This window comes from Homo sapiens, chromosome 20 (assembly GCF_000001405.40).
Source record: "Homo sapiens chromosome 20, GRCh38.p14 Primary Assembly".
Taxonomy (NCBI): domain Eukaryota; kingdom Metazoa; phylum Chordata; class Mammalia; order Primates; family Hominidae; genus Homo; species Homo sapiens.
The window spans coordinates 34,928,167-34,956,140 of NC_000020.11; the positions used below are offsets into that span (position 1 = coordinate 34,928,167).

At 46.5% G+C, this 27,974-nt stretch overlaps 2 protein-coding genes across 4 annotated transcripts in view, besides 2 other annotated features; one reads left to right on the plus strand and one right to left on the minus strand.

Moving 5' to 3' along the window:
- On the minus strand, nucleotides 266-27,861 carry GSS (glutathione synthetase). Of its 3 annotated transcripts, none has more exons than NM_000178.4 (13): nucleotides 27,561-27,640; nucleotides 23,558-23,694; nucleotides 17,787-17,932; nucleotides 14,765-14,840; nucleotides 14,322-14,461; nucleotides 13,547-13,663; nucleotides 8,777-8,857; nucleotides 8,597-8,674; nucleotides 7,410-7,476; nucleotides 3,773-3,967; nucleotides 3,170-3,251; nucleotides 1,235-1,424; nucleotides 266-785 (listed from the first exon to the last, which is right to left on the minus strand). In NM_000178.4, the coding sequence occupies exons 2-13, from the start codon at nucleotides 23,684-23,686 to the stop codon at nucleotides 662-664; spliced, it is 1,425 nt and encodes a 474-aa protein (NP_000169.1). In that variant the 5' UTR covers nucleotides 23,687-23,694; nucleotides 27,561-27,640; the 3' UTR covers nucleotides 266-661. The 3 variants fall into 3 exon arrangements, with proteins under 3 accessions (NP_000169.1, NP_001309423.1, NP_001309424.1); NM_001322494.1 differs by lacking the exon at nucleotides 27,561-27,640 and adding an exon at nucleotides 27,704-27,861 and having other exon boundaries at nucleotides 267-785; NM_001322495.1 differs by lacking the exon at nucleotides 27,561-27,640 and adding an exon at nucleotides 26,550-27,469 and having other exon boundaries at nucleotides 267-785.
- Nucleotides 27,448-27,547: an enhancer, noted in NCBI's record as "active region_17770". NCBI's record gives its function as "activates an Ori minimal core promoter by ATAC-STARR-seq in GM12878 lymphoblastoid cells {active_cell/tissue: GM12878}" and the evidence as "EXISTENCE:reporter gene assay evidence [ECO:0000049][PMID:35858748]".
- Nucleotides 27,702-27,974, plus strand: part of MYH7B (myosin heavy chain 7B) — a 46,570-nt gene continuing 46,297 nt past the window's right edge. The window contains exon 1 of the mRNA NM_020884.7: nucleotides 27,702-27,841. The gene's annotated coding sequence lies outside the window, so the exon portion shown is untranslated. The remainder of the gene's footprint in view (nucleotides 27,842-27,974) is intronic.
- Nucleotides 27,788-27,967: an enhancer, noted in NCBI's record as "active region_17771". NCBI's record gives its function as "activates an Ori minimal core promoter by ATAC-STARR-seq in GM12878 lymphoblastoid cells {active_cell/tissue: GM12878}" and the evidence as "EXISTENCE:reporter gene assay evidence [ECO:0000049][PMID:35858748]".

Sequence of the window (27,974 nt, forward strand, 5' to 3'; positions counted from 1 at the left end):
GAAGCCAGTTCACAACTGTTATGTATGTCCCATCTTGGTTGCCTTCCCTCCTGGGCTCCTGCCAGGGACTCTCATTCCTCCCTGTGATCCAGTAAGAGCATTAGTGGGTGGCTAAGGATTGAAACTTCAGGGTTCCACCTGTAGAGACTGGTCTAGGGGGACCCTGATTACAGACCAGTCACTTCCCTGCTCTAATACATCTTAAGTGGGCTAACGTAGATTACAGCTCCCGCCTCCCCTCTATGCACGAAGTAAGGAATCATCACTGAATCAGCAATGCAGTTTTATTTAAGGCAGAATTAGGGAAAGGCTATGCCCCTCCACTCCCCCTCCTCCTACCACTCAGTCCTATCCCAAGTCAGGCACTGGAACCTGCTGAAAAGGCTGATGAGGGGCTGACAGGAGTGGGGCAGGGTTCATGGACCTTTACCTCAGAGCAGCTTACCCTGAGCTATACCCACATCTCAAGGATTTGGGGGCGTCTAGATCTCATCTAAGGGAGACACAACTTTTCTGGTCCTCAGATGGAAAGCTGGGGGAAGGTACCAGTATTTACCCTTCCATAAAAACTTTGGAGGTCTTTAGGAGGATACCCCTCAGGAGGGCTAGGAGAGGAATGACAAATACAGAGGATAGAAGGTCCCGTGGCCTGGTTGTGCCCTCACACAGGGTATGGGTTGTCCAGGACTGCCACTCCCGCTGCCACACCACCATCTGCATGCTCGATGGCTTTGGTTCGAAGTAGATGCCCCACGTGCTTGTTCATCACGAGTGTCTTTTCCTGCCTATAGAAATGGAGGCAGGGGACACACATCACCTGGACTCAGCCCCAAACCCAGGACCTTCCCTGGACCCAGCTGAGCAGTACCTGGGTAACTGTCTATACCAAGAAAGTGCTAGGATTTTAGAGTCTCTATGCCTCTCTGGAGTCTCCTTCTAGTCCTAGGTTGTCAAACCATGTGTTCTGAGTCCTCTTGGTGCTATTTGGAGTTTCCTTCACGGTTGCAAAGGACTTCTCATCAGGGCTTCATCTGATACCCTGGTAAGGTGGGCAGGTCTTGGGTCCTTGGCCTCATTTAATAGATAAAGAAACAGGTAATAAAGCTAGTGATTGGCAGAGCTGGCACCGAAGCCCAGGATTCCTGACTCTTTCCAGTGTTCCCCTCTAGGCTGGCTCACTTGGCTGGCACTCTTGCAAGCAGGTAGTGGAAAGAGCTTCTCCTGATTGGCTCACCTGACATAGACCCCAAAGATGCCCAGCTCTGAAATGCACTGGACCACTCGGGCAGGGCTGCCAGGCCGTAGCAGGCAATTCTCAAAAGGCTCAGGTTCGATCTTCTCCATGAGGATGTAGGAGGCCCTCTCCTCACTGTCCTTCAGCTGTTTCAGGGCCTGTACCATTTCCTCCCCATATAGGTTGTTACCTGCAATGAAACTGGCCAGTCACCCTGGACCCTCTGCCTACCTCCTCCATCCCATGCCCTCACTTTTGGGGCCACATGGGCAAGTCAGCAGCCTCAGTTCCTGGCACCCGCTCAGTGAAGCCAGGGCATATCTGGCTTCTCAGGAGGGAAGCTCACTTTGACAGGAGAGCCCTTACTCATGCAGTGAACACATCTTCCACTACACTGTTCTGCCCTGGTTCTCCTCCTACCTACAGCTGTTCCTTCTCAAGCTCCATTGCTGGCTCCTTCTCTTAAATGCTGGGGTCCCAGGGGAATTGGTCCTCCACGCTTGCTCTCTCCCCCATGTACATTTTCCCAAGGAGATCTCTCCTATTCCTGAGTCTCCATCTATACCCTAAAAATTGTTAACTTCCGGCCGGGCATGGTGGCTCACGCCTGTAATCCCAGCACTTTGGGAGGCCGAGGCAGGCAGATCATGAGGTCAAGAGATTGAGACCATCCTGGCCAATATGATGAAACCCCATCTCTACTAAAAATACAAAAATTAGCTGGGTGTGGTGGCGCACACCTGTAGTCCCAGCTACTCAGGAGGCTGAGGCAGGAGAATCGCTTGAACCTGGGAGGCAGTGGTTGCAGTGAGCCAAGATCATGCCACTGCACTCCAGCCTGGTGACAGAGCGAGAATCCGTCTCAAAAAAAAAAAAAAAATTGTTAACTTCCAAATATTTAATGCAGGCTCCCTGCTTAGACATCATATGACTGGCCCCCAAACAAACTCAACTTGTCCAAGCAGAACTTATTACTTCTGCCTGAACCTGCCCCTCCTGGACCTTCCTACTCCCAATCAGGCAAAAGGTACCCCTGAGTCATATTTAACTCCTCCCTTCCACTACCCTCTCACTATCTAGGACATGTCTCTCCAGTTGGCCCCATAGTCATAGCCCTAGCCCAGGCCTCTACGTTGCTCTTCTGAACAACTGTATCAGCCTCTTCCACGGTCTTTCTGCTTCCAGTGTCTCCCCTCATTCCAGGACATCTTCTACAATGCAGAAACTGTAAGTTTTGCAAGTTCCCACCACTGCTAACCACTTGAGTCCTGGATCAATGTGTCCCTTCCTGGCTTAAAACTCCCTAATGGCTTCCCACTGCCCTTAAGATAAAATCCAATTTCTCAGTATATATTCAAGGCCCTTTATAATCAGGATGCAAACCATTTTTCCAGCCTAAATCCCTGTCCCCTCCCAGCTCCCCCTCCAGCCTCACCAGTTTCTCATTAACCTCCAAACATCTCACACTTTCATGGCCCGGTGCCTTGGCTTGAGGTTGTCCCTTTTGTATGGAACACTCTTCCTCCTTTCCACCTGGGAAATTCCTACCCACCTCTTAAGACAAAGATTAAAAAAATCCTCTCCTCTGGAGAGGCAGACATGACCCCTGACCTCAAGGAGTTTCAAACTAGAAAGGAAAACAGACATGTATTCTCTCCAGTCTCCTAATATGACCCTACTCTACTTCCCAACAATCTACCCACAGGCACCTCAGGTAAAACTTGTCCAAACCCTTCAATGCTGGTTAATCAGATTCCCCTGTGCTCCCGGACTTGGTCACAGGGTCTTAGGGGACACTGTCCAACATGTGGCCTGTGTCAGTTCCAATAGTTTCCCCCATGCCCGGGACTGTGCCCAGAGTAAGTGCCAATGAGCACTGGCCACAGCCTGCTAGTCCCTCTCATTGAGGAGCCCTGCAAAGGGAGATCCACCTACCTCCACCCTCTCTCTGGGGCTTTAGCACAAACCGGCTAGGGGCAGCAAGGGCCTCGGCGATGGCCTGGTCCCCTTCTTCACCCTGGCAGGAGGCAGAAAGCAGTTATCAAAAGTTTAAAGGCTAAAGAGGCAAGAAGCTTAGGTCCAGCTGGTTATGCAGAGCAGCATCAGAGGAAGAGCAGGAGGGAGAACAGCCACAAATTCCTTCAGGCAGGATGCTACTATCTGGATGACACTCCCAACAAACCCCCTGCAGCAGCCGATGCAATGAGAACAGGCCTTTCTTTAGCAACAGCTCAGGGCTCTGCAGCAGGCAGCCTGATACACTTCTCAATTCTTGCCACCTGCCTTAGTCCCTTCCCTCTGGTTGCCATCCTCATCTCTACCTTTGCTGAGGGAGCTTACAATGGATTCCAGCCCCCATCCTTCCATTATGAGGCTGCCCTTCTGCTCAGAGTTCTAGGGGTTCTCCAGAGCATCACCAACCTTGCCAGCTCCACCTTCCCCTTGTCACAATGCCAGCTCCACCCTCCCCAACACATTGGGCTGTAGGTCTCTGCCACCTAGGAGGCCTGTGGTAGGAGAAACAGGCTGCCCACGTACCACATCCAGTGAGTAGAGGCCAGCAAAGGTGGCGCGGAGGCGGGCCACAGCCTCAGGCTGGCCAGGGAGCAACATCTCCAGCATGCCCGGCCTGCTTAGCTCCTGCTGCACCTTCTTAGTCCCAGCCAGCTGGGTGGCAATGTCTGGGCACTTGGCAGCATGTGACCTCTCCAGCAGTAGACGTGCTTCCCAATTCTGCAGAGGGAAGAAGACAAAAGGAATTCGACTTTATTTTACTTCAGCTGACGTTTACTGAACATCCATCCATTAGGTGCCAGGTATCATGATTTGTATCTTCACCCTCATTATCACCCAGGATCATTCTAACATCCTTGTGAGCCAGGTGTGATATGTTGTAGTTATGTATCATTGTGCCAGACTGTGAGCCCCTGCAAAGGCAAGAATCCCCCAATCTGTGGGAAACAATAGAAGGTGTAAGGGTAGAACATTTGTCTACGTGCTCAGCTTCCCACTGTGTTCCATACTCCCTACCATGGCCTTCAAGATCCTTCAGGAGCTGGCTCCTGTCTACTTTTTCAACCTTGTACCATCCCTGACTCCTAGTCTCTGCCATTCTACTCACACAGGCCTGTCATTCCTCAAATCACAAAGCTCTTTCCCTCCTCAGGGCCTGCACTGCTTTTCCCTCAACCTGAAACCCCCTTCCTTTCGGCTTTTCCCATGCATAGCTGGATCCTTACCATCCTTACATCTCAGCTCAATGTCACCTTTTCAGAGAAGGCTTCCCTGTCCACTCTATTTAATGTGGATTTCCCATAATTCTCTTTTTACCCAGTTGTTTCATTGAAAGCAGTTACCTGAGACTAAAACACACACATGCACACATACACGCACACGCACACAAACATACACACACAAATCCCAATTTTTTTTTCCTATTTTTGTTTACTTTTTTTTTCTTTTGAGACGTGGGTCTTGCTCTGTCACCCAGACTGGAGTGCAACAGCGCAATCTTGGCTCACTGCAACTTCTACCTCCTGGGCTCAAGTGATCCTCCCTCCTCAGCCTCCCAAGTAGCTGGGACTACAGGTGCACGCCACCACACCCAGCTAATTTTTGTATTATTTGTAGAGATGGGGTTTTGCCATGTTGCCCAGGCTGGTCTTGAACTCCTGAGCTCATGCAATCCACCTACCTAGGCCTCCCAAAGTGCTGGGATTACAGGTACGAGCCACAGTAAATGGCCATATTTTTGTTTACTTTCTGATGCCCATTTCTCTGACCAGACTGTGAGCTCCATAGCACAGGGCTCTTATCATTTTCCTCATTTTCTGTTGTATCTCCAGTGTCTAACACAGTTCCTGGCACTTTGTAGTTGCTCAATAAATATTTGTTGTTGTTGCTGAATAAGTTGAAATTTGAGTGGGGTTCTGAAGGACAGGTAGAGCCTGACAAGTGAGACTCAATAGGGAAGGGATACTCAGGCTAAGAGAATAATATGAACACAGGTCTCAAGTGGATGATCACAGGATGAATGGTTTATTACCACAAGAGCTGAGGGTATAAAAGGCAAGGAAACAGCAGGGGATCATGCCTCCCAACTCTGGTTCCCATTCTCATGCAATGGGGAGACAGTCTGTCCTTGGCTCCAGACCACTGCAAACTGCACACAGCAGGATCAGGTCTCTCCTGTGACCCCCACCCAATGCTGTCCTTCCTTTGATACTACTGGTCCACCTGTAGCACCTTGACCTGATCTTCATCAATAACCCCAGGAACCCAACTACTAGTCTGGCATTCCACGCAGAATCACACGTGACCAGAACATCAGAAATAAACCCAGAGAAATACCCCATTATGGTAGAAGCAGGAAAGCAAAACCAAAGATAAGCAAGGACTTGCCCAGGGTCATCTAGTAAGTCACTAAGCCTTCTAGATCTCTCTCCATGTCTAAACCTGCTCTGAGCTGCTCAGTTCCCTAAAAATGTCTACCTCTTGGCCAGGTGTGGTGGCTAACACCTGTAATCCCAGCACTTTGGGAGGCCAAGGTGGGTGGATCGTAAGGTCAGGAGTTCGAGACCAGCCTGGCCAACATGGTGAAACCCTGTCTCTATTAAAAATACAAAAATTAGCTGGGTGTGGTGGTGGGTGCCTGTAATCCCAGCTACTCAGGAGGCCGAGGCAGGAGAATCGCTTGAAACTGGAAGTCAAAGGTTGCAGTGAGCCGAGATCGCACCACTGTACTCCAGCCTGGTCAACAAGAGCAAAACTCTGTCTCAAAAAAAAAAAAAAGTCTACCTCTTTAAACACTACTTTCCTTCCTTGTTATCTCAAACTCTTCTAAGTTTTCTTTGTCGTGTTTTGAAATCTAGACCCATTTCTTTTTTTTTTTTTTGAGACAGAGTCTCGCTCTGTCAGCCAGGCTGGAGTGCAGTGGCATGATCTCAACTTACTGCAACCTCTGCCTCCCGGGCTCAAGCAATTCTCCTGCCTCAGCGTCCTGAGTAGCTGGGATTACAGGGGTATGCCACCACGCCCGGCTAATTTTTGTATTTTTAGTAGAGACGGGGTTTCACCATGTTGGCCAGGCTGGTCTTGAACTCCTGACCTCAGGTAATCCACCTGCCTTGGCCTCCCAAAGTGCTGGGATTATAGGCGTGAACCACCGTGCCCGGCCTAGACCTATTTTTCTAATAGACAGTTTATCTCTCCTGTAGTCAGCAAGTTGCCACCACTGCTAACCACCTATCTAAAGAAAAGGATGTTCTATCGAGATACCACCTCTATAGAGCCTCCTCATGTGGAGCTCAACCCTCGGGGGGAGTCCTAGATGAATTACAGACCTAGAAGGAGCCCCCTCAGTTTTCTAGTGTAGCTCCCCCCGCTCATAGAAACAGACCTAGAAAGGGTCAGGAACTTGCCCATCATCACACAGAGGCAGTCAAGCTCATGACCTCCAGCTCACTGCCCATGGTATTTCTAAACTTATTTCCTCCTTTATCATCTCCCAGCTGAGAGCAGAGCTTCTTAGCCTCTCCATGATGTGGATGTTAGGAGCAGAGGAGAAGAATGGGAATACCATCGGCCTGAAAGTCAGAAAACCTGGGAACTTCCTGTAGGGCCTTAGAGAAGCCTCTCCATCTCTCTAAACGTTAGTTTCTCCATCTGTATAATGGGGATAATTATATGCCTCACCGAGTGGTTGTGAGGGTTAAATGAAATAATGGATGTGGAAACTAATGAAACTACATGGTAGGATAGCAAAATGAGGTGATATAACTGTCATTAACATGAATGAGGAGATGATAAAACTTTCTGATTCAGATAAAGGAAAGGTAAGAGTTGGCAGGAAAAAAAATGGTCAGCAGTATGCTGGAACTGGCTTATATCAACCAGTGAGAGCTGATTGTTGTTAAACATTTGCCAGCACATCTCTGGAAACAGTGTAAATGGCTGAAGCTCTGTGGATTCCTGAGGATTCAAATTCTAGAAGACTGTGTAGAGTGATAGGTAGCAAAAGGCTTGAGGGAGGATAGGAGGTTCTAGCAGCAAGCTCCCTGAGAAAGAAGTGAAGTGAGGACTCGGAAAACCCAGGTTGTTATAAGCCTGAATTGGGTCTCTGTGGAGCTCTTGTGGGTCCCAGGAGGCAAAGAATGGTCTCACAGAAAATACCAACCTGTAGACTGTACTGACGAGGCATGTAGCCATCCCGGAAGTAAACCACAGCAATTTCCTGGCCATCCCTGGAACACAGGATGGAGAAGGCTGCTGTGTTAAATTATAACTGATTTGTTCAGTGGTTCAATCTATTTCAGGGTGCATCAAGATGAATTTGGCTTTTTCAAAATTCAGCCCACAGTGGGAGCCTGGTCAGGGGTTCACTGGAACCAGTGAAAGTAGATATCCACACTACCAGGGCTTCCACTGAAAACAGGGAGGTGTGCCATACAGAATACTTTAGAATATGCCAGATTTAGAGTCATTCTAAGAAGGCCAGAAGGAACAAGAAGGTCACTAGAATCAAATTTGGTAAATGCATACAAATGTTGGCTCGAAATTACCGAGCAGCAGAATCATACTGCCATGTGTAGTAAAACACACTTTATATTTCCACTGCTTAAAGCAGCTGAAACCAGAATGAAAAAATTTTTAATGGCAGGGGTGAAGGTGAAAACGCAAACATGTAAAATGATGAGTCTGATTAAGACACAGGCTTTTTAAATGTCTTTTCCTTTTCTTTGACCTATTTGATATTGTCTAGTTTATCTGAAAAGTAAATTAACTACTTTGTTTAGTTATGATAAAAGCACATTTTGAAAAACAGTGAGTGGTATTGTGAAATTCCATGGACAGTTTTAATTTTAACAATCACAAAGGTCTAGGTCTAAATATATGTGCTGCAATGCTACCCAAATATGTAGCACCAAATCTACCTGGTGGTGGCCCCTAGAGAAAAGGATAAGGCTTGGCTTGGAACACAAATCCAGGCTCGAGCTCAGACAGTGGCATCCAGACCAATCACAGCATGAGCCAGCTGCTCCTCTTCCTCCCTGACTGCCCAGCTCAGCTTCTCAGGCCTGACCTCACCTTACTAGGAGAGGCAAGAAAACTTTTGGGAACTTAGGGCATATGAAAACTAAGATGATCTCTAAGGAGACCCTGATCCAGAATGTCAACAGCTCTGATAGAAGCACAGCGTGGCTGGCTTTCTCCAAAATTTCCTGGGAGGATGAGATATTTCAGGAATTATGAGAGAAGGAAGCAAGCCATCACATCTCCCAGAAGAAAGAATCATTTTGGGGAAGAGGGTGGCAGGATGAGTTTCATAAACCAGCCTTCCACTGGATTCTTGGGAATGCTTACACAAACAGCCTTCGGTCTTGGTCCAGAGACCCCTTTTCAGAGATATCTTCAAATGTTCGTCGGATCACATGGATGTTCCTGGGAAAAATGGGCAAGAGCCAGAGGGAATGGATGCTATGTTCTGAGTGCCCCACCCCTAATCCTGGAGCCACACCTAGAAGTCCCCCTTCCTTTACTTACCTGGCCAGTAGCTCATTCTCTATGGCACGCTGGTCAAATATGTTTCTTTCCTTCTCTTGAGCAATCAGTAGCACCAGAGCACTGGGGAAAGAGCACAGGTGGCCCGAGGCTACTATAGAACTTGTTCTTCTTTTGTTTCTCCCCTCAACCCCCATACCGCCCCACCTCCTGGAATAAGAATAAGAACACCGCTTCCCTGAAAGAACAGATGTTCCCTCTCTCAGGAACCTTGAGATTACCTCAGGCATAGACACCTGATGCTATCACATATGATTTCCTGAAAATAGAAAACTTCAAAAATGAAGATGCCTCTGACCCTTCTCCAGTGGGCAGATGAAATATTGTAATGATGTCATGGGTTGATGAATTTCTGTGCAAATTAAAATTTAGATTTAAAACCATCTCAAAAACCCAAGAGGACTTTTTCTTAGAACTTAACATAATTCTAAAATCTTTCTGGAAGAATAAACAAGTGGGAGTATTGAGGAACATTTTGTAAAAGAACAATGCAGGGGGTCCGGGGCTAATGGCTCTATTACTAGATTGTAAAGGATACAATAAAGGAATGTGGTTCTTACACAAGATGGAACCCTACAGAAACCCACAGGGCCAACTACAAACAACGACATTATCTCCTGGGCCCTCCCAAGATTCCTATAATGTACACAGGGCCACATTTGATCTCATAGTATTAATGAGATCACTAGGGCTTATGTGGCTTCTTCCTCTCTGATTATTCATGTATTTCTTAAAGAGGCAGGGGCTTGAGGGCTCAGGGAAAAGCTTATGCCAGGGAACTATCTGTTTGGCTGCCAGCTAACATATTTCCGTTGTCAAAGATAGGTCCAGTCCCCTAAGAGATTCCTAGGGCTAATGCTCAGCAGTACCAAACTGCATTTTTTTTCTTTTACATTTTATTTTATTTATTTTTTTGAGACGGAGTCTCCCCCTGTTGCCCAGGCTGGAGTGCAGTGGCACAATCTAGGCTCACTGCAACCTCCACCCCCTGGGTTCCAGCGATTCTCCTGCTTCAGCCTCCCGGGTAGCTGGGATTTCAGGTGTGCACCACCCCCGCCGGCTAATTTTTGTAGTTTGAGTAGAGATGGGGTTTCACCATGTTGGCCAGGCTGGGCTCGAACTCCTGACCTCAGGTGATCTGCCCGCCTCGGCCTCCCAAAGTGTTAGCATTACAGGTGTGAGCCACTGCGCTCAGCCTCCAAACTCCATTTTTGCTGTGACTGTACTGCTTTGTGTCTGTGGCTTCTTCCTGAGACCCATGGAACCCTAGGCTTTGGCTTAGGATTCTAAGTGTGTATTCCCTGACCTCCTCTGCTTAGCCTCTCTTGTCTATCTCTGCTTCTCCTGACCTTGGCTGAACCTCTTAGTCTAAACTCTGTTTGCCTGACTCCTTTCTGCTTAGCCAAAATATAGGTCTTAGTAAGTCCCCTCTCCTGGTTTGCCTGAAATCTCATGAGGTCAGATGTGATGTTAAGCTGAGTCTTGGCTTTGAGTTGGGTGCCTGAGAGACAAACTAAAAGTGGTGCTCTCACAAGTCATCTTGCCCTGAGAGAGTCCTAAGGGCCAATGGCTTTGCTCTTCACTTTGCAGCCTAAACTGTCCCGCTCATGGGTGAGGGTGTGTGTGGGAGGGAGGCAGTTGGCCCAGGCTGGCCCACCTCCAAAAAGAGGCGGAGGAGGAAGGCTGGCAGCTGGAGGTTAAAGAGGAACTGCACGCCCCAGCTAATTAAGTCAGCCTGCCAACTGCTAAACAATCAGAGCTGGGCTCAGAAAACATATTTGACCTCTCCTGCCTTCAGTTCTGAGCAGTTCTCAGCAGTCTGTTTCCTAGTAGGAAAGTTGTCAGCTAAGGACGCATGCGGGCTGGGGGTGAGGACCCCTGAGTCGTAGGTAGTCCAGGCTCTGCCAGTGACTTGTAGTGTGTCTTGGTAATTGACTTGGGTAAGGCAATTTCGTTCCTTGGGCCCTGGTTTTCCCATCTATAAAATAAGAGTGTTATGGCTGGGCATGGTAGCTCACGCCTATAGTCCCAGCACTTTAAGAGGCCGAGGCGGGCGGATTGCCTGAGGTCGGGAGTTTGAGACCAGCCTGACCAACATGGAGAAACCCCGTTTCTACTAAAAATACAAAATTAGCCAGGCGTGGTGGTGGGCACCTGTAATCCCAGTTACTTGGGAGGCTAAGGCAGGAAAATCCCTTGAACCTGGAAGGTGGAGGATGTAGTGAGCCGAGATCGTGCCATTGCACTCCAGCCTGGGCAACAAAAACGAAACTCTGTCTCAAAAAAAAAGAAAAAAATTGGTGTTAAAAAGATCACAGTTCCCAAACTTTTATCACCAGTAGTCCCCTTTTCTTATTCTACTCATTCTAACCACAGGCCCTATGCTTTGAGAGTTTGTCTAAATTGAAATTGTAAGTCATTTTGCAGGCTTCCATTTTTAAGAAATTTTAAAAATCATGAGATAATTGACGAAAATTAATCTGCTCTACCAATGCAGTTTTTCAGTCAATACTGTGGAACCATATCTCTTAAAGGCAGAATAGGGAAGTAGAGAGAACATAGGCTTTAGAGGCAGATGAATTCTATACTTACCGGTTGTGTAACTTTGGGCAAGTTATTCAAACTCTCTTAGCCTCAGTTTGCTGTTGTATGAATTAAAACTAATACTTGTCAAATGATAGCTATTATTATTATTATTTGGGTTTGTTTTTTGTTTTTTTTTTTTTTGAGATGGAGTCTCGCTCTGTCGCCCAGGCTGGAGTGCAGTGGGGTGATCTTGGCCACTGCAACTTCCACCTCCCGGGTTCAAGTGATTCTCCTGCCTCAGCATCCCAAGTAGCTGGGACTACAGGTGCCTGCCACCATGCCTGGCTAATTTTTGTATTTTTTAGTAGAGACAAGGTTTCACCATGTTGGCCAGGCTGGCCTTGAACTCCTGACCTCTGATGATCCACCCGCCTCGGTCTCCCAAAGTGCTGGGATTAGAGGTGTGAGCCACTGCACCCGGCCTATTATTATTATTGAAAGTACCACATAATGATCCACACAGATTTTTAAAAACATTTTTCAGATCCATGATCTCATTTAATTCTCACTAACACCCCTTTAGGTATTATTATTACTCCTATTTTACAAATGAGGAAACTGAAGCTCAGAGAAGAACTAACTTGCCAAGGTCATGTGCTATGTCAGCAGAAGAACCTATCTCACTCTCACAATGGGGGAAGCCAGTTCTGGCTCAGGTGCCACATAACTCCTACCTACCAGTGCCTAATTTTGGACACACAAGTATTTTCTGTCCACGTTACTGACAGGCTGGCAGGCAAAACCCTCTGCAGCATTTGTCTGTCAGCAGTTCCCCAGCTGACCCATCCCCTGGCTTCACTCTCTTAAAATACAACCTAGCCAATATACTTGAAAGAATATTTGTCTGATGACTTCTAAATGCTTACAGTCTGAGGTTTCTTTGGGCTTAGTGAGGCTTAGCAAGGACAGAGAGGCTCCCTTGGAGGTAAGAGCATGATTAAGAGTGGAGGTTTTAGAGGGAGGTAGACTTTGGGATCTGCCACCAACTCATCACTTAGCCTTAACAATTCACTTCGTTTCTCAGAACCTCAGTTTCCTCATCTGTAAAATGAGGGAGTTGAACAGTATTGACCTCAGAGAGCTTATTATGAGAATTCAATGAGATCCTGTATGTACAGAGCTTAGCACAAGGTGTAGCACTAGTAAGTGTACATTAAGGACTATTAATGCTATATTAACATTGCAATAACTGTTAGTATAGCGGCCCCTCGATGATCTGAAAATCACTTACCTAACATCTTCACTTGAGAAATAGGAAGAAAGCAAAAAATGCCTCTAAGCAGTTAAAAAGGATACCATAAAATTTCGTAGTCAAAGCTTATGCATTTACTCATCCAAGAGGCCCTCACACTCTTCAGACCCAATCATAACAATCTGGATCATTTGTTTTCCCAAACCACAGCAAATCAGAAGGGAGGCATGGGCATGGGGGGTGGAGGATTCCAAATTCAAGCATACCAACAGCAGTCAAAAGTAAGAGCTGAGAATTGGGAAACAGACAAGAAAACTATGAAGAAAATGAATGAGAGGCCGGGTGCAGTGGCTCATGCCTGTAATCCCAGCACTTTGGGAGGCCAAGGTGGGCGGATCACGAGGTCAGGAGTTCGAGACCAGCATGACCAACATGGTGAAACCCCGTCTCTACTAAAAATACAAAAATTAGCCAGGTGTGGCAGCATGCGCCTGAAATCCCAGCTACTCAGGAGGCTGAGGCAGAAGAATTGCTTGAACCCGGGAGGTGGAGGTTGAAGTAAGCCAAGATTGTACCACTGCACTCCAGCCTGGGTGAGAGAGTGAGACTCTGTCTCAAAAAAAAAAAAAAAAGGAAATGACTAAGAACTTAAAGCCTAGCAGTCAGAGCTATTAGCGCAGGCAAACAGCCTTGCGTGCCTCTCTAACCCTAGGTAGCACTACTGTATTACAGCAAGCTGCAATTGTTGACAGTCATAATGATGACCTCCACTCAATAAGAAAAAGTTAAATCATAGTCAGCATCTGTTATTTAAGAAGGAAACCTTAAAATAATTTTGGCATGTAAAGGTATAAGTTTCTATTCCTAGAAAAATCCCCTTATTCTCTAATGATGGCTGGCAAGAAAAGAAGTTGCTAAACCCATGAATGCTGAAACTAAAGCAGGATCCTCCTGCTACCTTTTCACACCCTTACTTGGGTGAGCCGTAGAGCTCCCAGGCTTTGGCAATTCCCAGGGCCAGTCCCTTGCTGGGATTATTAGAGAGGATCTTGCCAGCTTCTTTGGTCTTACTCAGGACACTGAGAACATGTCTGTTGGAAGAGAGATGGCTGTTCAGTAATTGGATGGACCTGGAAGACCCCTCTGCCCATGACCTCATATATACAGCAACATGACTCTGAGAATCAGCTGAGCACTAAAAAGCATCCTCCCATCACATTCCTGTAAGATCCACTTCAGGTTGGAATATGCTGGGCTGCCCTAACCTTGGCCCCTGGTGTATATGCCTGGAGGAGACCTGAGAGCCTCTGTCCCCACCCCAACCTACCCTAGTGTCCCAGTGAGCTGGAGCCCCTTACTCTGGGCCTCCAGGTGCTGTCTGGAATCCTGCTGCAGACCATCTAAAATCATTGCAACCTGGAGCATCACTGCTGGCTAGAAATGGATGCTACCAGGCCCAGCCCCCAGACAGAAGTCCCTGCATTCCTCTCTCTGGGGCTCTCAAGATATTGTTCCCTCTGCCTGTACAATGGAGGGACAGGACTAGATGAGCTATGAGGTCCTTTTTCTCCCTGACATACCAAGGATCTCATTACAAGTGGAAACTGCTGTCGGGGTGGCCAGGGGCAACATGTGACCCGGGGCCCAGGAAAGCACAATCATAGCTGGAGTTCCCTGGCCTAGCCAGTGACTGTACACCCATCAGCATGTCACCCCACAGGTATGCCGGGGGCTGCCCAGGGGACCCACCGGTGCACAGCTGGGGTCCGGGAGGCCAGGCCCCCAAAGCTGGCAGAGATGGTGTTGATTTCGATCTGTTTCAGGGCTGGGGAGCCATCTGCGCTGCGCTGGAACATGTAGTCTGAGCGATTCAGGCCCAGGAACACAGTCTGTGGGGAAAACTGAAGGCTGACAGTACCTGCCCAGGGACTGACTCTGAGGACCTAGCCACAGAGCACACAGGTACCATGAACTCTACACAGAGATTAGAGGTACCAGCAAACACTCCCAAGCCCAGTGGAATCATTCTTCTGGTCATCCTAGAATTGGTCACTGGGATAAACCCAGTGAGGACCAGTGAGAGGCAGATTCCCATGAGCTGAGGGCCTGGACCAAATTCTTCAAGCAAAACAGAAAACAAACAGAGATGGGAGGGACAGGTTACAGACTGGAGTAGGGCTGGGAATGGTTACCTGGGCAATGCCCTCTTTTAGGACTTGCTTGTGGATGTCAAAGAGACGAGCGGTAAAGTCATCCTGTTTGATGGTGCTGGAGGAAGAAACAGAGAACATTTTGCAGGCTTAATTGGACCTAAAATTTCAAGGAGTCCCATCCTCAGTCATTGACTCCTGAATCCTCTCTGAGTCTACTGGCCAAAACTTGAATGTCCGCCCCAATGTGGTAGAGAACAGTGGCTAAGAATCCAACTCTAGACCTGGGTTCAAATCCTAGCTCTACCACTCACTAGTAGGCAACCTCAGGGAATCATTTCACCTCTCTGTGTCTCAGTTTGCTGATCTTTAAAATGGAGAATATAATTATATTTATATCATAGAGTTGTGGTAAAAAGCCAATAAGATATTACATTCAAAGAATTGAACATACTGCACCGAAGAAGAGCTAGAAAATGACATGATGTATCTATTCTACTTGAATAGCTCTGATGGTTGGCAAGCCTTCTGGTTGACCTAATACTAACTCTCCATAGCTTTTCCTACCCTCTGCGACCTCCCAGGGTGAGCCTTCTCCTCCTCCTCCACAGCAGCCCTTGGAGATTAGAAGACAGCAGTTATGCCCTGTGCACCAATAAGATTTTTCTGACCCAAGCTAAATATCCTGGGTTTTTTTTGTTTGTTTGTTTCTTCTTCAACTAGTCCTCATATGATGTGATTTCCTCAGGGAAGCCTTCCCTATCTGAGTCAGATCCCCCTACTATGTGTTCTCATAGAACTAAGAACCACTCCTTTACAGCACTGACTGCAGTTGCAATTTTACATTTTCTTTGTGTGATGATTAGTGTCATCTCTCCTGTTTGACTATAAACCTCATGAAGGTAATGGCTGTGTCTATGCAGGCTCATCGTCACAGCTCAGTGTACTGCCATGACATGTGACATGTGTTAGGGGCCTATCCAGTATGGTTTTCTGAAGTCTCAACAAGAGCCACAGTAAGAAGGAATCCACAGGTGATTAACATCACACTTACTGCCCTTTGAGATTCAGGGTGGATTCTGCACACCTGCTCAAGCCTGAATCACCTTGTTACAGAAACGTCACAGCAGACCAGTGGGGGGAAGCCAAGTAGCCCAGGCCTGCCCTGAAGTTCCTCTGCTCCTCAGCCAGCTCTCTCCCAAGGGTGAGCTCTCTCATGCCAGCCCTTGGTTAGGAGGAGAGTCCCAGCTGGGCTTCAGCCTCCAAGGAAGTTGAGACACACTTTCCTTTTTCTGAAGAGGTGCTCCCCTTCATGTTTTGTAGGGGGCTCTTCTCCCTTAGGAACTAGGGTTTATATGTGTATGAGAGGAGAGAGGAACAGAGAAGGCAGGGGTTGCAAAGATGAGCTGCAAGTCTCCTTCATAATTGCATCATTAGGGTTATAAGCCAGGCTGCTCATGTTTCCCACAATCCAGGATTGCAGGTACAAAGCTGGGCCCATTCCAAGAAACAGCTCAGGGGCAAGGTGGTGGGCAGATTCATACATTCATGACTCATTGGGTTTTTGGCTACAAGTCAATGGTTTCCAAGCTTCTTACCATTATGACCCCTTCTCATATTCACCCACACATTTTTAAAAGATTTTGTCTCCAACAAAAGTCTAATTTCTGTTGAAAAATTAATCAAAGACATGCAATTACAGGTTGGATATCCCTTATCCGAAATGCTTGGGACCAGAAGTCTTTCGGATTTTGGAAGATTTGCATATACGTAATGAGACATCTTGGGGATGGGACTCAAGTCTAAACACAAAATTCATTTGTTTCATATACACCTTATACTCATAGCCTGAAGATTATTTTATACAATATTTTAATTAATTTTGTGCATGAAACAAACTTTTGACTGTGTTTTGACTGCACCTGTCACATGACATCAGGCGTGGCGTTTTCCACTGGTAGAGTCATGTGGTGTTCAACAAGTTTTGAATTTTGGAGCATTTCAGCTTTTGGATTTTTGGATTAGGGATGCTCAACCTGTACAGTATATACACATCTAGCATGTATATGTAAATACATAATATTTCTAGATATTTAATTCTACAATGAATATATATACATATATATATGTATTATTATTTCTTTTTTTTTGAGATGGAGTCTCGCTCTGTCGCCCAGGCTGGAGTACAGTGTCGTGATCTTGGCTTACTGCAGCCTCTGCCTCCTGGGTTCAAGCGATTCTCCTGCCTCAGCCTCCCAAGTAGCTGGGATTATAGGCACCCGCCACCACACCCAGCTAATTTTTTTATATTTTTAGTAGAGACGGGGTTTCACCATGTTGGCCAGGCTGGTCTCAAACTCCTGACCTTAAGTGATCCACCCACCTCGGCCTCCCAAAGTGCTGGGATTACAGGCCTGAGCCACCGCGCCCAGCCTATATATATTTAATTCTAAAATAAATAAAGAAATTTTAAGAAATTGCCCCAGAATCTGAAGAAAAAAAAAAAAAGATCAAGGGAAAGAGACAGAGAAGGGCGGATGGGCTGAACCATTTCAGAGGTTGCTTCCTCATGCCCTGAGTGTGGCCCAGTCTGTACCCCATCCCATCCAAAGATGAGAGGCCTGAGGTGACAAGAAAGTGTCGCTGCTTAGGAGAAGTAGAAAATCTGACTTTAACCCAATAACCTTCCCTACCTCTGTTTTCCTCCAAAACCAGGCTGACTTCCCCTAATTCCAAATGGAAATATCAGTCTTCAAAGTAGGGTGTCACGGATTACAGAATGTCAACAATAAAGGGATCTTGGATTTAAGCCAGTCTCTTCATTTTTCAGATGAAGAAACCTTAGGCCCAGAGAAGGAAAGGGAGTGGCTTGAGGCCATATAAATAACTGGTCGAGCCAGGATTAGAAGCCAGCTTTCCTGACTCCTATGACTTTTTGTTCTTTGGAGGTACCTTTCCTCTATCCCACCAAGTCAGCTGACACAGTAACACCTCACGGCTCTGCAATCTTCCAGTTCCTTGGCTCTGGCAGCTCCTGGCCCCCCAATGCTTCACTGTCCCCTACCTGGAAAGAGTTTGCTCCAGGAAGGCAGCGTTCTGGCTGACAGCATCCACTAGCAGGTTGAAGTCCATCTGCACAGCATAGGCTTGCTCCAGCAGGGCACTGGGGACCAGTGAGGGGAAGAGCGTGAATGGGGCATAGCTCACCACCTGTGATCAAGAAGAGAGAATGGGACAGGGGTAGGGCACCTGTGAACGGGTTGTCTTCCTGCAAATGGAATCCCATGGAAAGTCTGGCCTATATTTACTGAGGACACACCAACTGTAGATTAGTGGTTACCTTGGGAGAGTGGAAGGGGGAGAGTGGAACCCAGAGAGCTTCCAGATTCTGTGATAGTTTATCTCTACGTATTGAAGAGAGAGAAGCAAAAAAGCAAAATGCAAATAACAAAAAGAAACCCACAAGTTATTGAGCACTTACTATGTGCAAGGTACTATTTTAAATACTTTACATAGATTCATCATTCAGCCCTGTGAGGAAGATACTATTATTATCCACACTTAACAGAGACGGGACCTGAGAAAGAGAGGTTAACAGATCCAAAATTATATTCAGCTAGGAACTGGTGCTGGGATTTGAACCAGAACAGTTAACAGATCCAAAATTATATTCAGCTAGTAACGGGGTGCTGGGATTTGAACCAGGATGGTTACTAAACACAACACACACATACATACATGGAAGCCTGCTCCTTGCTGGTTGATGTTCAAGCCCAGGCCCTTCCATGCATCAGGAGCTCACACTCCAGTTTCCTTGCCTTTTGATTTTGATTTGGTTACTGGGTAGGACAAGTGAACTCTGGTTCCCTTAGTAGAAGCCAGGAGTGTTTTTTCCACCAATGTTAGTGATGGTGACTCAGGTTAACAGGCCTAGAGTTCAGCTGCATTCCGCATTCTTTGGACTTTATCATAGACGAGAAACCCAAATACCATCAAGGACACTGATTCTAGAAGGGAAAAGTGCATTCTGAGATCCCTGCCAACAACTGAACTAGAACTTGGGTAAGAGATGAAAAGAAAATCTTGTGACTTGTATTATAAAGCATTCCTGAGTTTAACCTTTGAGTTAATATCAGTTTGTCATTATGGTGGTATAAGTTTACGGTGTTAGAACTTGGTATTTAGATATTTATTTTTAAAGTACTATTTTTTTTTTTGAGGTAGAGTCTCACTCTGTTGCCCAGGCTGGAGTGCAGTGGTACAATCTCGGCTCACTGCAACCTCCATCTCCTGGGTTCAAGCAATTCTCCTGCCTCAGCCTCCCAAGTAGCTGAGACTACAGGTGTGTGCCACCACACCCAGGTAATTTTTGTATTTTTAGTAGAGATGGGGTTTCACTGTGTTGTCCAGGCTGGTCTCAAACACCTGGCCTCAAGTGATCTGCCTGCCTCAGCCTCCCAAAGTGTTGGGATTACAGGCATGAGCCACCATGCCCAGCCAAAATATTATTATTTTTTTAACAGGTAATACAAATACATGATACAAAATTCAAAAGAGACATAAGAATATATAGTGAGAAGTATGTCTCACTCTCATTCCAGTCTCCTGGGGAAAAGACTGGGCCCCAGCCACCCAGTTCTCCTCCCCAGAGGCAAATGACAGACTAGTGTCTCACACATCCTTCCAGTCATCTTTGTATTGATATATATGTATACACATATATTTTCTCTTTTTTTCACCCCCATAGCAAACTATACTACATTGTGCTTTTTAAATATTTCCTTATATGTTCAAATAGAGCATTTTCATTATTTTTAATTGCTGTATATTATTCTACTCTTAGGATATACCATAATTTATTGAATCTAGTATATAGGTGGTTTCTTTATTTTCCTATTACCATTAATGTTTCAATGGGTATCCTAGAATATACATTCTAGATATTTTCATATATGAGAAAGTCCATACATTCTAAATTTCTAAAAGTAAAAATATCAAGTAATTCAGGTAAATCTATTTTAAATTTTGGTAGATAATTTCTAAATTACCCTTCTCAGCATCTTTTTTTTTTTTTTTTGGAGTGGGGTCTTACTATGTTGCCCAGACTGGAATACAGTGGCTATTCATAGGTGCCATCATAGTGCACTATAGCCTCAAATTCCTGGGCTCAAGCAATCCTCCTGTCTCAGCCTCCCCAGTAGCTGAGACTGCAGGTGTGTACCACTGCCCTGGCCTCAGCATCTAAGATAAAACTGAGGAAGGCTATTTGTGAGAATAAGGTTTATTCAGTCTGAAGCCTTTATGAGTTAGAATGGGAATGACTGCAGATTACATAAGGGGTGACCTAATACCCTGAGTAGCTATGTGATGACTACAGGAGCATTTCCTTGGCTTGAACACATAGAGCTCTGCTGCCCCCAACAAGTCTCATCTTGGCCTCAAAAACTCAGAGTTTTTCTGCTAAGACATCCCTCTGCCTCTGTCCCAGGGCTCATTATGCCCTCCTGAATTTAGGATCAATAGTTTATAGCTGTTCTCTGCTATCTACAGGCTAAAGGCTGAAACACACAGTCTTCTCACTTTTGATAGAGACATTAACATAAAATGACATTACTGGCCGGGCACGGTGGCTCATGCCTGTAATCCCAGCACTTTGGGAGGCCGAGGCGGGCAGATCACAAGATCAAGAGATCGAGACCATCCTGGCCAACATGGTGAAACCCCATCTCTACTAAAAATACAAAAATTAGCTGGGCGTGGTGGCACACACCCGTAGTCCCAGCTGCTCTGGAGGCTGAGGCAGGAGAATCGCTTGAACCCAGGAGGCAGAGGTTGCAGTGAGCTGAGATCGTGCCACTGCACTCCAGCCTGGCGACAGAGTGAGACTCTGTCTCAAAAAAAAAAAAAGAAACATTTTTCTACTATTTAAAAAAACCTATAGCACGTGCATGACAAAATTCTGCTTTGTAGCCAGGAAGCAACAGGGAGTGATAGGAATTGTGGCAAAAAGAAGTACTTGCATCTTCTCTAAAGGGGGCAGCCAGAACTCTGCTCTAGCCAATTGTTGCCATGCAGGAAAGTAGGCCAGAGTTGCCAGATGATATAATTTTTCAAGACAAGTTGGGTTGCTAGATTTTTTGTTTTAATTTCATGATTTTTTTTTTTAAATGTTGGCTCTGACTTTTTAAAAATACTCTGGTGAAAACAACTGTTAACAATGCTTGCCCCTGGTCAGGGAAACAGTGGCTGGAGGAAGGGGACTTACTCTGTACTGAATACCCTTTTGAATTTTGCGCCCTGTTCAAATGTATTTGAACGTATTACTTATTGTAAAAAACAAATTAACTCCCCAAACACTGCAGGAGCCAAATACTCAGCCTAGATATGGCTAGTTTGCAGCTCTGATCTACAGGATAAAGTTCATACTCCTCCTCCACCCAGTAGCTAAGGCCCCGCGGCTGTCTGACGCTGGCCTGCCTTCTTTCCCACTATATCCACTTATGCGCCCTGCATTTCAGCTGCATTCTCTTGAACATTTTTTTTTTTTTTTGCCTTTTCCTACTTTTGGGTCCTTGCTATGCTGTTCCTTTTCCCTATTTGTCTTTTAAGGTCTAGTTCAAATACCACCCCCCATCTCAATCATCTAATCATAATGAACTACTCTTTCTTCCAGCTGTCCTATATAGTATCTTGGGAGAGGAAAAAAAGCATGGATGTTCAGAGCATGGACTCAGGAGCCAAATTCCTTGGGTTCACATCCTGGCTCTGCCAATTATTTTACCATTTAAATAACCTCAGGTAGGTTACTTAGCCTCTCTGGGCTTCGGTTTCCTTATCTCTGTTGTGGTGAGGAGTCAGTGATTCCAAAGTGTTTAGAATAATGCCTGGCACATACTAAATACTCAATAAATGATAGTTAACTTTGTGTAGCAGACTGCCTGTGTTTCCTCATAGAGCTGATGTTATTTAATTTTGTTTTGTGGTATGTTCTCTAACTAGACCAGGAGCCCCAGAGGCTAGGGCTCTGGCTGACTCACCTCTCTGTCCTCAGTGCCTACAATGGCCCGGCATAGAGCAGGCATTTGGTAAAGATTTGGAGTAAAATCATTCTCTCTCTCTCTCTCTCACACACACACACACACACACATACACACACACGTACACTTTCTGACTTTTTTTCTGGATTAGAAATCTCATTGTGGATTACGCCTTTTCTAGGCTCCATAACCTCCCAGAAAGACCAAGTGTTGGATCTTCACATGGTACCTATTGATTAACAGAAGAAACAAAAGCGTGGAAGAGAAAATGCTTCATTTTAGATTCATACAAGTAATTCACAAAATCTAGGTTCACAGCCCAAGCAATTCTATTCCATACCATCAGCCTGCCTTAGGTGACAGACATTGTCATTTACTTGGGCCTTAGCAAACAATTACTGAGTGTGGACTCCATCAGGCCTGTGTAGGTTCTGGGCACACAGAGACAAAAAAGAATGGGTCTGGCTAAAAAAAGAAGAGATGTTGGCAGCTCTTTAGTCACCAATATGGTCTTAAGGTGTACTGTTAAGTTAAAGAAAAAAAAGTGGGCAAAAGGAGGCTGGGCACGGTGGTTCACACCTGTAATCCCAGCAATTTTGGGGGGCAGAGGCCAGTGGATCACTTGAAGTCAGGAGTTTGAGACCAGCCTGGACAACATGGTGAAACCCTGTCCCTACCAAAAAAAAAAAAAAAATTAGCCAGGCGTAGTGGCACATGCCTGTAGTCCCAGCTACTTGGGAGGCTGAGGTGGGAGAATTGCTTGAACCCAGGAGGCGGAGGTTGCAGTGAGCCAAGATTGTGCCACTACACTCCAGCCTGGGCAACAGAGCGAGGCCCCAAGGAATATATTTACTTGTTATTAGTTACTTGTTATGAATAAGCCATCTGAAAGGATCAACAAGAAACCAAAACACAAGCTGCATTAGGGTAAACTCTTGTACCATTTGAATTTGAACCATGAAAATGTCTTACCTAGTCACCAAATTAAAAAAGATTTTATTTTTTTATTTTTTTTTCTTCCCTAAGGATGAGGTTTTAAAAAGGTGTGGTTTGGACTCAGCAGTTCTACTTTTACGTATTGAACCTGGAGAAACACTCACATAGGTGCCCCAACAGACATATGCATGGATGTTCCCTATAATGCTATTTATGGTCATAAAATAATGAGAAATCACCTAAATAGACATGAGTAGAGGGAAGCTAAACTGTGATACACCCACATCTGGAATACTATGCCTCAGAATGAAGATGACCCTAATAGAAGGCATTAGAAAGTTCTAAGACAGACAAATAAAAAACCAAAAACATATCATAGAATAATATATATGATACAATTTGTTTTTTAAAAAAGACGTATTTCTATATATACCTATCTATGTATATAAATGCACAGAGAAAGGCTTGAAAGCATATATCACAAACCAGTTACAGAGAAGGTAGAGTGATTATGGGGTTTTCAGTAATAGCTCACTGGGCAAAGTGCTTCACATGAATCATCCTGTAATTCTCTTACCAAACCAGTGAGGTAGGTCCTATTATTATCCCATTTTTACACCTGAAGAAACTGCAGCTGAGAGCGGTTAAGTAATTTGCCTAAGTCACACTTCAAACCCCATATTTAAATTTGATTACTCCAGGACACTGCCTTTTTATTTTCTACTTCTAGAGATCAATTTTAGTTACTGGAAAAAATAAGGCAAAAGAGATATGGTCCCTGATGCAAAGGAGTGACCCTCAGCCTGGCCGGGGCCAGACAGTGGGCCATGGTGAATGCTGTGGGGAGGAGCTAGGGGCTTACCTCCGAGGAAGTGGGCTCCTGTGAGGTCCTCAGCAATACTCCCTCAGCCAGGGCCCGGTCCACGGCCTGCCGTGCCAGCTCCTCTAGCTGCTGTTTATCCTGCAAGAGGCTCCCCCAGTTGGTGGCCATCCCAACACCTGCAAAAGATGGAGAGAAGAGAGTTGGTAACAGATGGCCTGAAGCCCAGCAACCACCGAAACTGGCTGGCGGCCACCCCCAACACAGCAGGACCCTGACCTCTGTTGGAAGGGAACAGCGTGGTATACAGGAGTGAACACTGGCTGGTTCTAGCTCTTAACAACTTCCATGTGCACAAAATAGAAAGCTTGACAAAGCATTTCCATTGCCACTCTCTCTTTTGATTCCCAACACAATGGCATTATTCTCACAGTAAGGAAGCAGAGGCTTGGAGAGGTGAAATGACTTGCCCGAGGTGATGACTGGTATAGCCTGGACTTGAACCCATGTCTCTGGACTCCCAGCCTAAAGGCTCTTCATTGGAGAAAGAAGCACTAATATCAGATGTGACTGGGGCAAGTTCCTTCCCTTCCCAGAGCTACAGATTCCCTAACTGTGAAACAAGAAGAATCGGATAGATCAGTTTCCAAACCTGGCTGAACATTCTGGGGAGCTGGGAAAGAATACAGATTCCTGGGCCCCATCCCAGAGACTCTGATGCAAGAGGCCTGATGGGAAGGAGGGGTTGAGGCTTTGTATTTTTTTTTTTTTGATATGGAGTCTCACTCAGTCGCCTAGGCTGGAGTTCAGTGGCTCGATCTTGGCTCACTGCAACCTCCGCCTCCTGGGTTCAAGTAATTCTCCCGCCTCAGCCTCCCTGAGTAGCTGGGATTACAGGCACACACCACCACGCCTGGCTAATTTTTTGTATTTTAGTAGAGACGGGGTTTCACCGTGTTAGCCAGGATGATCTTGATCTTCTGACCTTGTGATCCACACGCCTCGACCTCCCAAAGTACTGGGATTACAGGCGTGAGCCATCACACCCAGCCGAGGCTTTGTATTTTTAACAAGTTTTCCTGGGATAGGAGTCACTGCAGTACATTATTAATTCCCTTCAAGCTCCAACAACTCATGTCAGCAGATCTCAAATAAATTACATGGGAAGGGGGAGGGAGCTCTTTGTGGAATACCATGAAATGCGAATAAGGTGAACTCCTCCCTTATACAAACCAGAAGGAATCTTAGTAGCAGGAAATGACTACATTCCATATATGGACATTTATCATCAAAGCACCAAAAGACAGAAAATATTTTTGAGAAATCACATTAGCAAGATGGAAATTGCTGAAACCCAAGTGTCCAATGTAATAGGAGAAGTTGTCTGATTGGTTGCCCAGAGACATACAGAGGTGTACAAACTCACACCCTGATACTCATTCATTTTTCAGCAGGCCTCAGGAGTTTAAGATCTGGGTAAAAATCTGGAAACACAGTCACTAATTTTGTTCTGCCCTGTTGCCATTTAACAGAACATGGTTGCCCAACTCAGTGGTCCCCAGGAAGGGAGTTAGAGAATAATAGGAAACCTCCATCACATTCAGCTCTGTCCCCCTGTCCCCATGACAGAGCCAGTGCCAGGCCAATTATGAAAGTCTGCCAGCCTCAGCACAATGCTTTGAAAGAATGCGCATGTGATCTCAAGAGGGTCCTGATAATATCCCTGTTGAGTGAGACATACATGAGGGCAATCATAGTAAAGAACAAGGTTCAAGTCAGACAGACAGACAGACCTGGGTTTGAGTCCATAATAATACGACTTCTCCCTTTCCCTTCTTTCCTTCCTTCCTTTTCCCTTTCCCTTTCCCTTCCCTCCTTCTTTCCTTCCTTCCTTCCTTCTTTTTCTTTCTTTCTCTCTCTCTCCCTCCCTCTTTCTTTCTTTTTTTTTTTTTTTGACGGAGTCTGGCTCTGTCGCCCAGGCTGGAGTGCAGCCGCACGATCTCGGCTCACTGCAAGCTCCGCCTCCTGGGTTCATGCCATTCTCCTGCCTCAGCCTCCCGAGTAGCTGGGACTACAGGCACCTGCCACCATGCCCGGCTAATTTTTTGTATTTTTAGTAGAGACGGGGTTTCACCGTGTTAGCCAGGATGGTCTCGATCTCGTGATCCCCCACTCTCGGCCTCCCAAAGTGCTGGGATTACAGGCGTGAGCCACCCCGCCCAGCCGACTTCCCTTTCAAGTAAGATTGCTGTGTGGATTAAAAGAGAAAAATCAGTGTGAAATTTATCAGCAGTGTTTGAAGCTCTATACATGAGACCATTTTTTGGCTGTACTCTCTTTATAGGTAGGAGGAGACTTGTCAGAGGTCACACAGAAGCCTAGTGGCAGAGCCAGGACAAGAACCCATTACCTTGACATTAGAGTAATGAAACCCTCCATGAGCCCCCATCGTTCCACAACTCTGAAATTCCAACATCTGTTTGCTGTTGGGCTTTTATTTAGTTGGCAAACACTGATTTGCATTTAATGCCACTCCCTTGACTAGGTACTGGGGATATGGAGGAGGATAAGACATAAAGATAATCACCATGGGCCAGGTGTGGTGGCTCACTCGTGTAATCCCAGCACTTTGTGAGGCCGAGGCAGGCGGATCACCCGAGGTCGGGAGTTCGAGACCAGCCTCACCAACATGGAGAAACCCCATCTCTACTAAAAATACAAAATTAGCCGGGCCTGGTGGCGCATGCCTGTAATCCGAGCTACTTGGGAGGCTGAGGCAGGAGAATAGCTTGAACCCAGGAGGTGGAGGTTGTAGTGAGCCGAGATCGTGCCATTGCACTCCAGCCTGGGCAACAAGAGCAAAGCTCTGTCAAAAAAAAAAAAAAAGAAAAAAAGAAAGAAAGAAAAGAAATCAGATGAAGGTGCTAAGTGGGCCCTTTGTTTTTCTCATTCTACAGCCTCAACCCTCCCTTGGCTTTATTTATGTTTTGCTGATGACATTCAAATCTACATCTTCACAGCAATACTTTCCTACCTTCAAACTAGAATATCCAATTTTTTCCTGCGAGTCTCCATACAACCAGAATAGAATTTGTTGTTGTCTCCCACAAATCTGCTTCTTCTCTGATGAACCCCACCCAGGTACCCAAGCCTTGAGTACTTGTTTCCTACATCTCACTCTCCCCAAATCCTATGGATTTTGCTGCCTAAGTATATAGTACTTTGAATTCCTTTATTTATCTCCATTTCCAGAGTTTGTAGCCTAGCCCCGGCCACTGTCATCTCTTCCCTGGGCGTGAAACAGATTCAGAGTCAGGTGTCTTCAGTGACCAGGATATGTTGGCCTCTGTCCCCCTTCCAGGACTTGGCACGTGCTGTCTTCTCTTTGGAACTCTCGCCACCACTCCTGATCTGGGCTCGCGATTTCGTTCCGGAAGCTGTCCCTGTTCTCCGCCCCGGGCTTCTACATTCTACAGCCCATCACTTTTCCCTGTACCGTAGGAACAGTGTTTGTCTTGATCACTTCTCTACCTAGTAATTAGCCGCGCTTAGTACTGTATTCATTCATCACATGAATGAATGAAGAATGAATGACAGACGGGTCAGATCACCGAAAGCCTCAAAACGCCCACAAGGAAATCGGTCGCACTTTATCGCCAGGACTTAGGCCAGTGCCTGGAAAGGCCCCGAGGCAACGACACGGTCGGCTGCCCAGGCTGGCCCCACTTCACGGGCCCGCTCGCTTCCACCCTGGACAAAGTTTGGCCCTAATCGCTCCCCGTTGTAGCTCTAACTGGCTCCAGTCTCACTGGCCTACATGCCCCGACACCGGCCCGATCTAAAGGCAGAAGATCCGGAAAGTCTGGGATCAGTGCGCGCCAGCCCAACCCCCTCACTAGACACTAGTTGCCCCGCTCCTACGAAGGGTTTCAGCCACAAGGTCTCCCGGCCTCCGGAATTCCAATCTCTTGCCAGACCCCTCCCTCACATCGTTCCTCCCGAGGAAACGTGACCCATGCCGGCCGCCGTGGCCGCCCCAACCTACTAGTTCGCCTTTCCTCCGCGAACGGTTCTCCCGGCCCTCGCGCCGCTACCCAGGCTCAGGGGGCGGGGCCTCGATGCGACCCAGTGCGCTTGCGCTGACCGCCCCGGCTAGGCTTAAAGAGCAGGCGGGGCAGAGACCCATACCTTTGGCGCTGAGTCGAGGCCAGGAAGGGGCGGTCGATGAGAGGGCGGCCTTAGCATTAGGAGTGCGTCGGCTGCACCCTGGCGGATGGACCTTGGGAAGGAGGGGAGGGGACCATCGGGGTCGGCGGGGAGCTACGGGTATGCATAGCTCATAGAGCGTCAGAGCTGACGACGACTAGTGGAAGATGGGGAAACTAATGCTCAGAGCGGGACAGTCACTACCTCAGGGGCACACAATTGATAAGGGTGGGGGTGGCCGTGGTAATGGAGG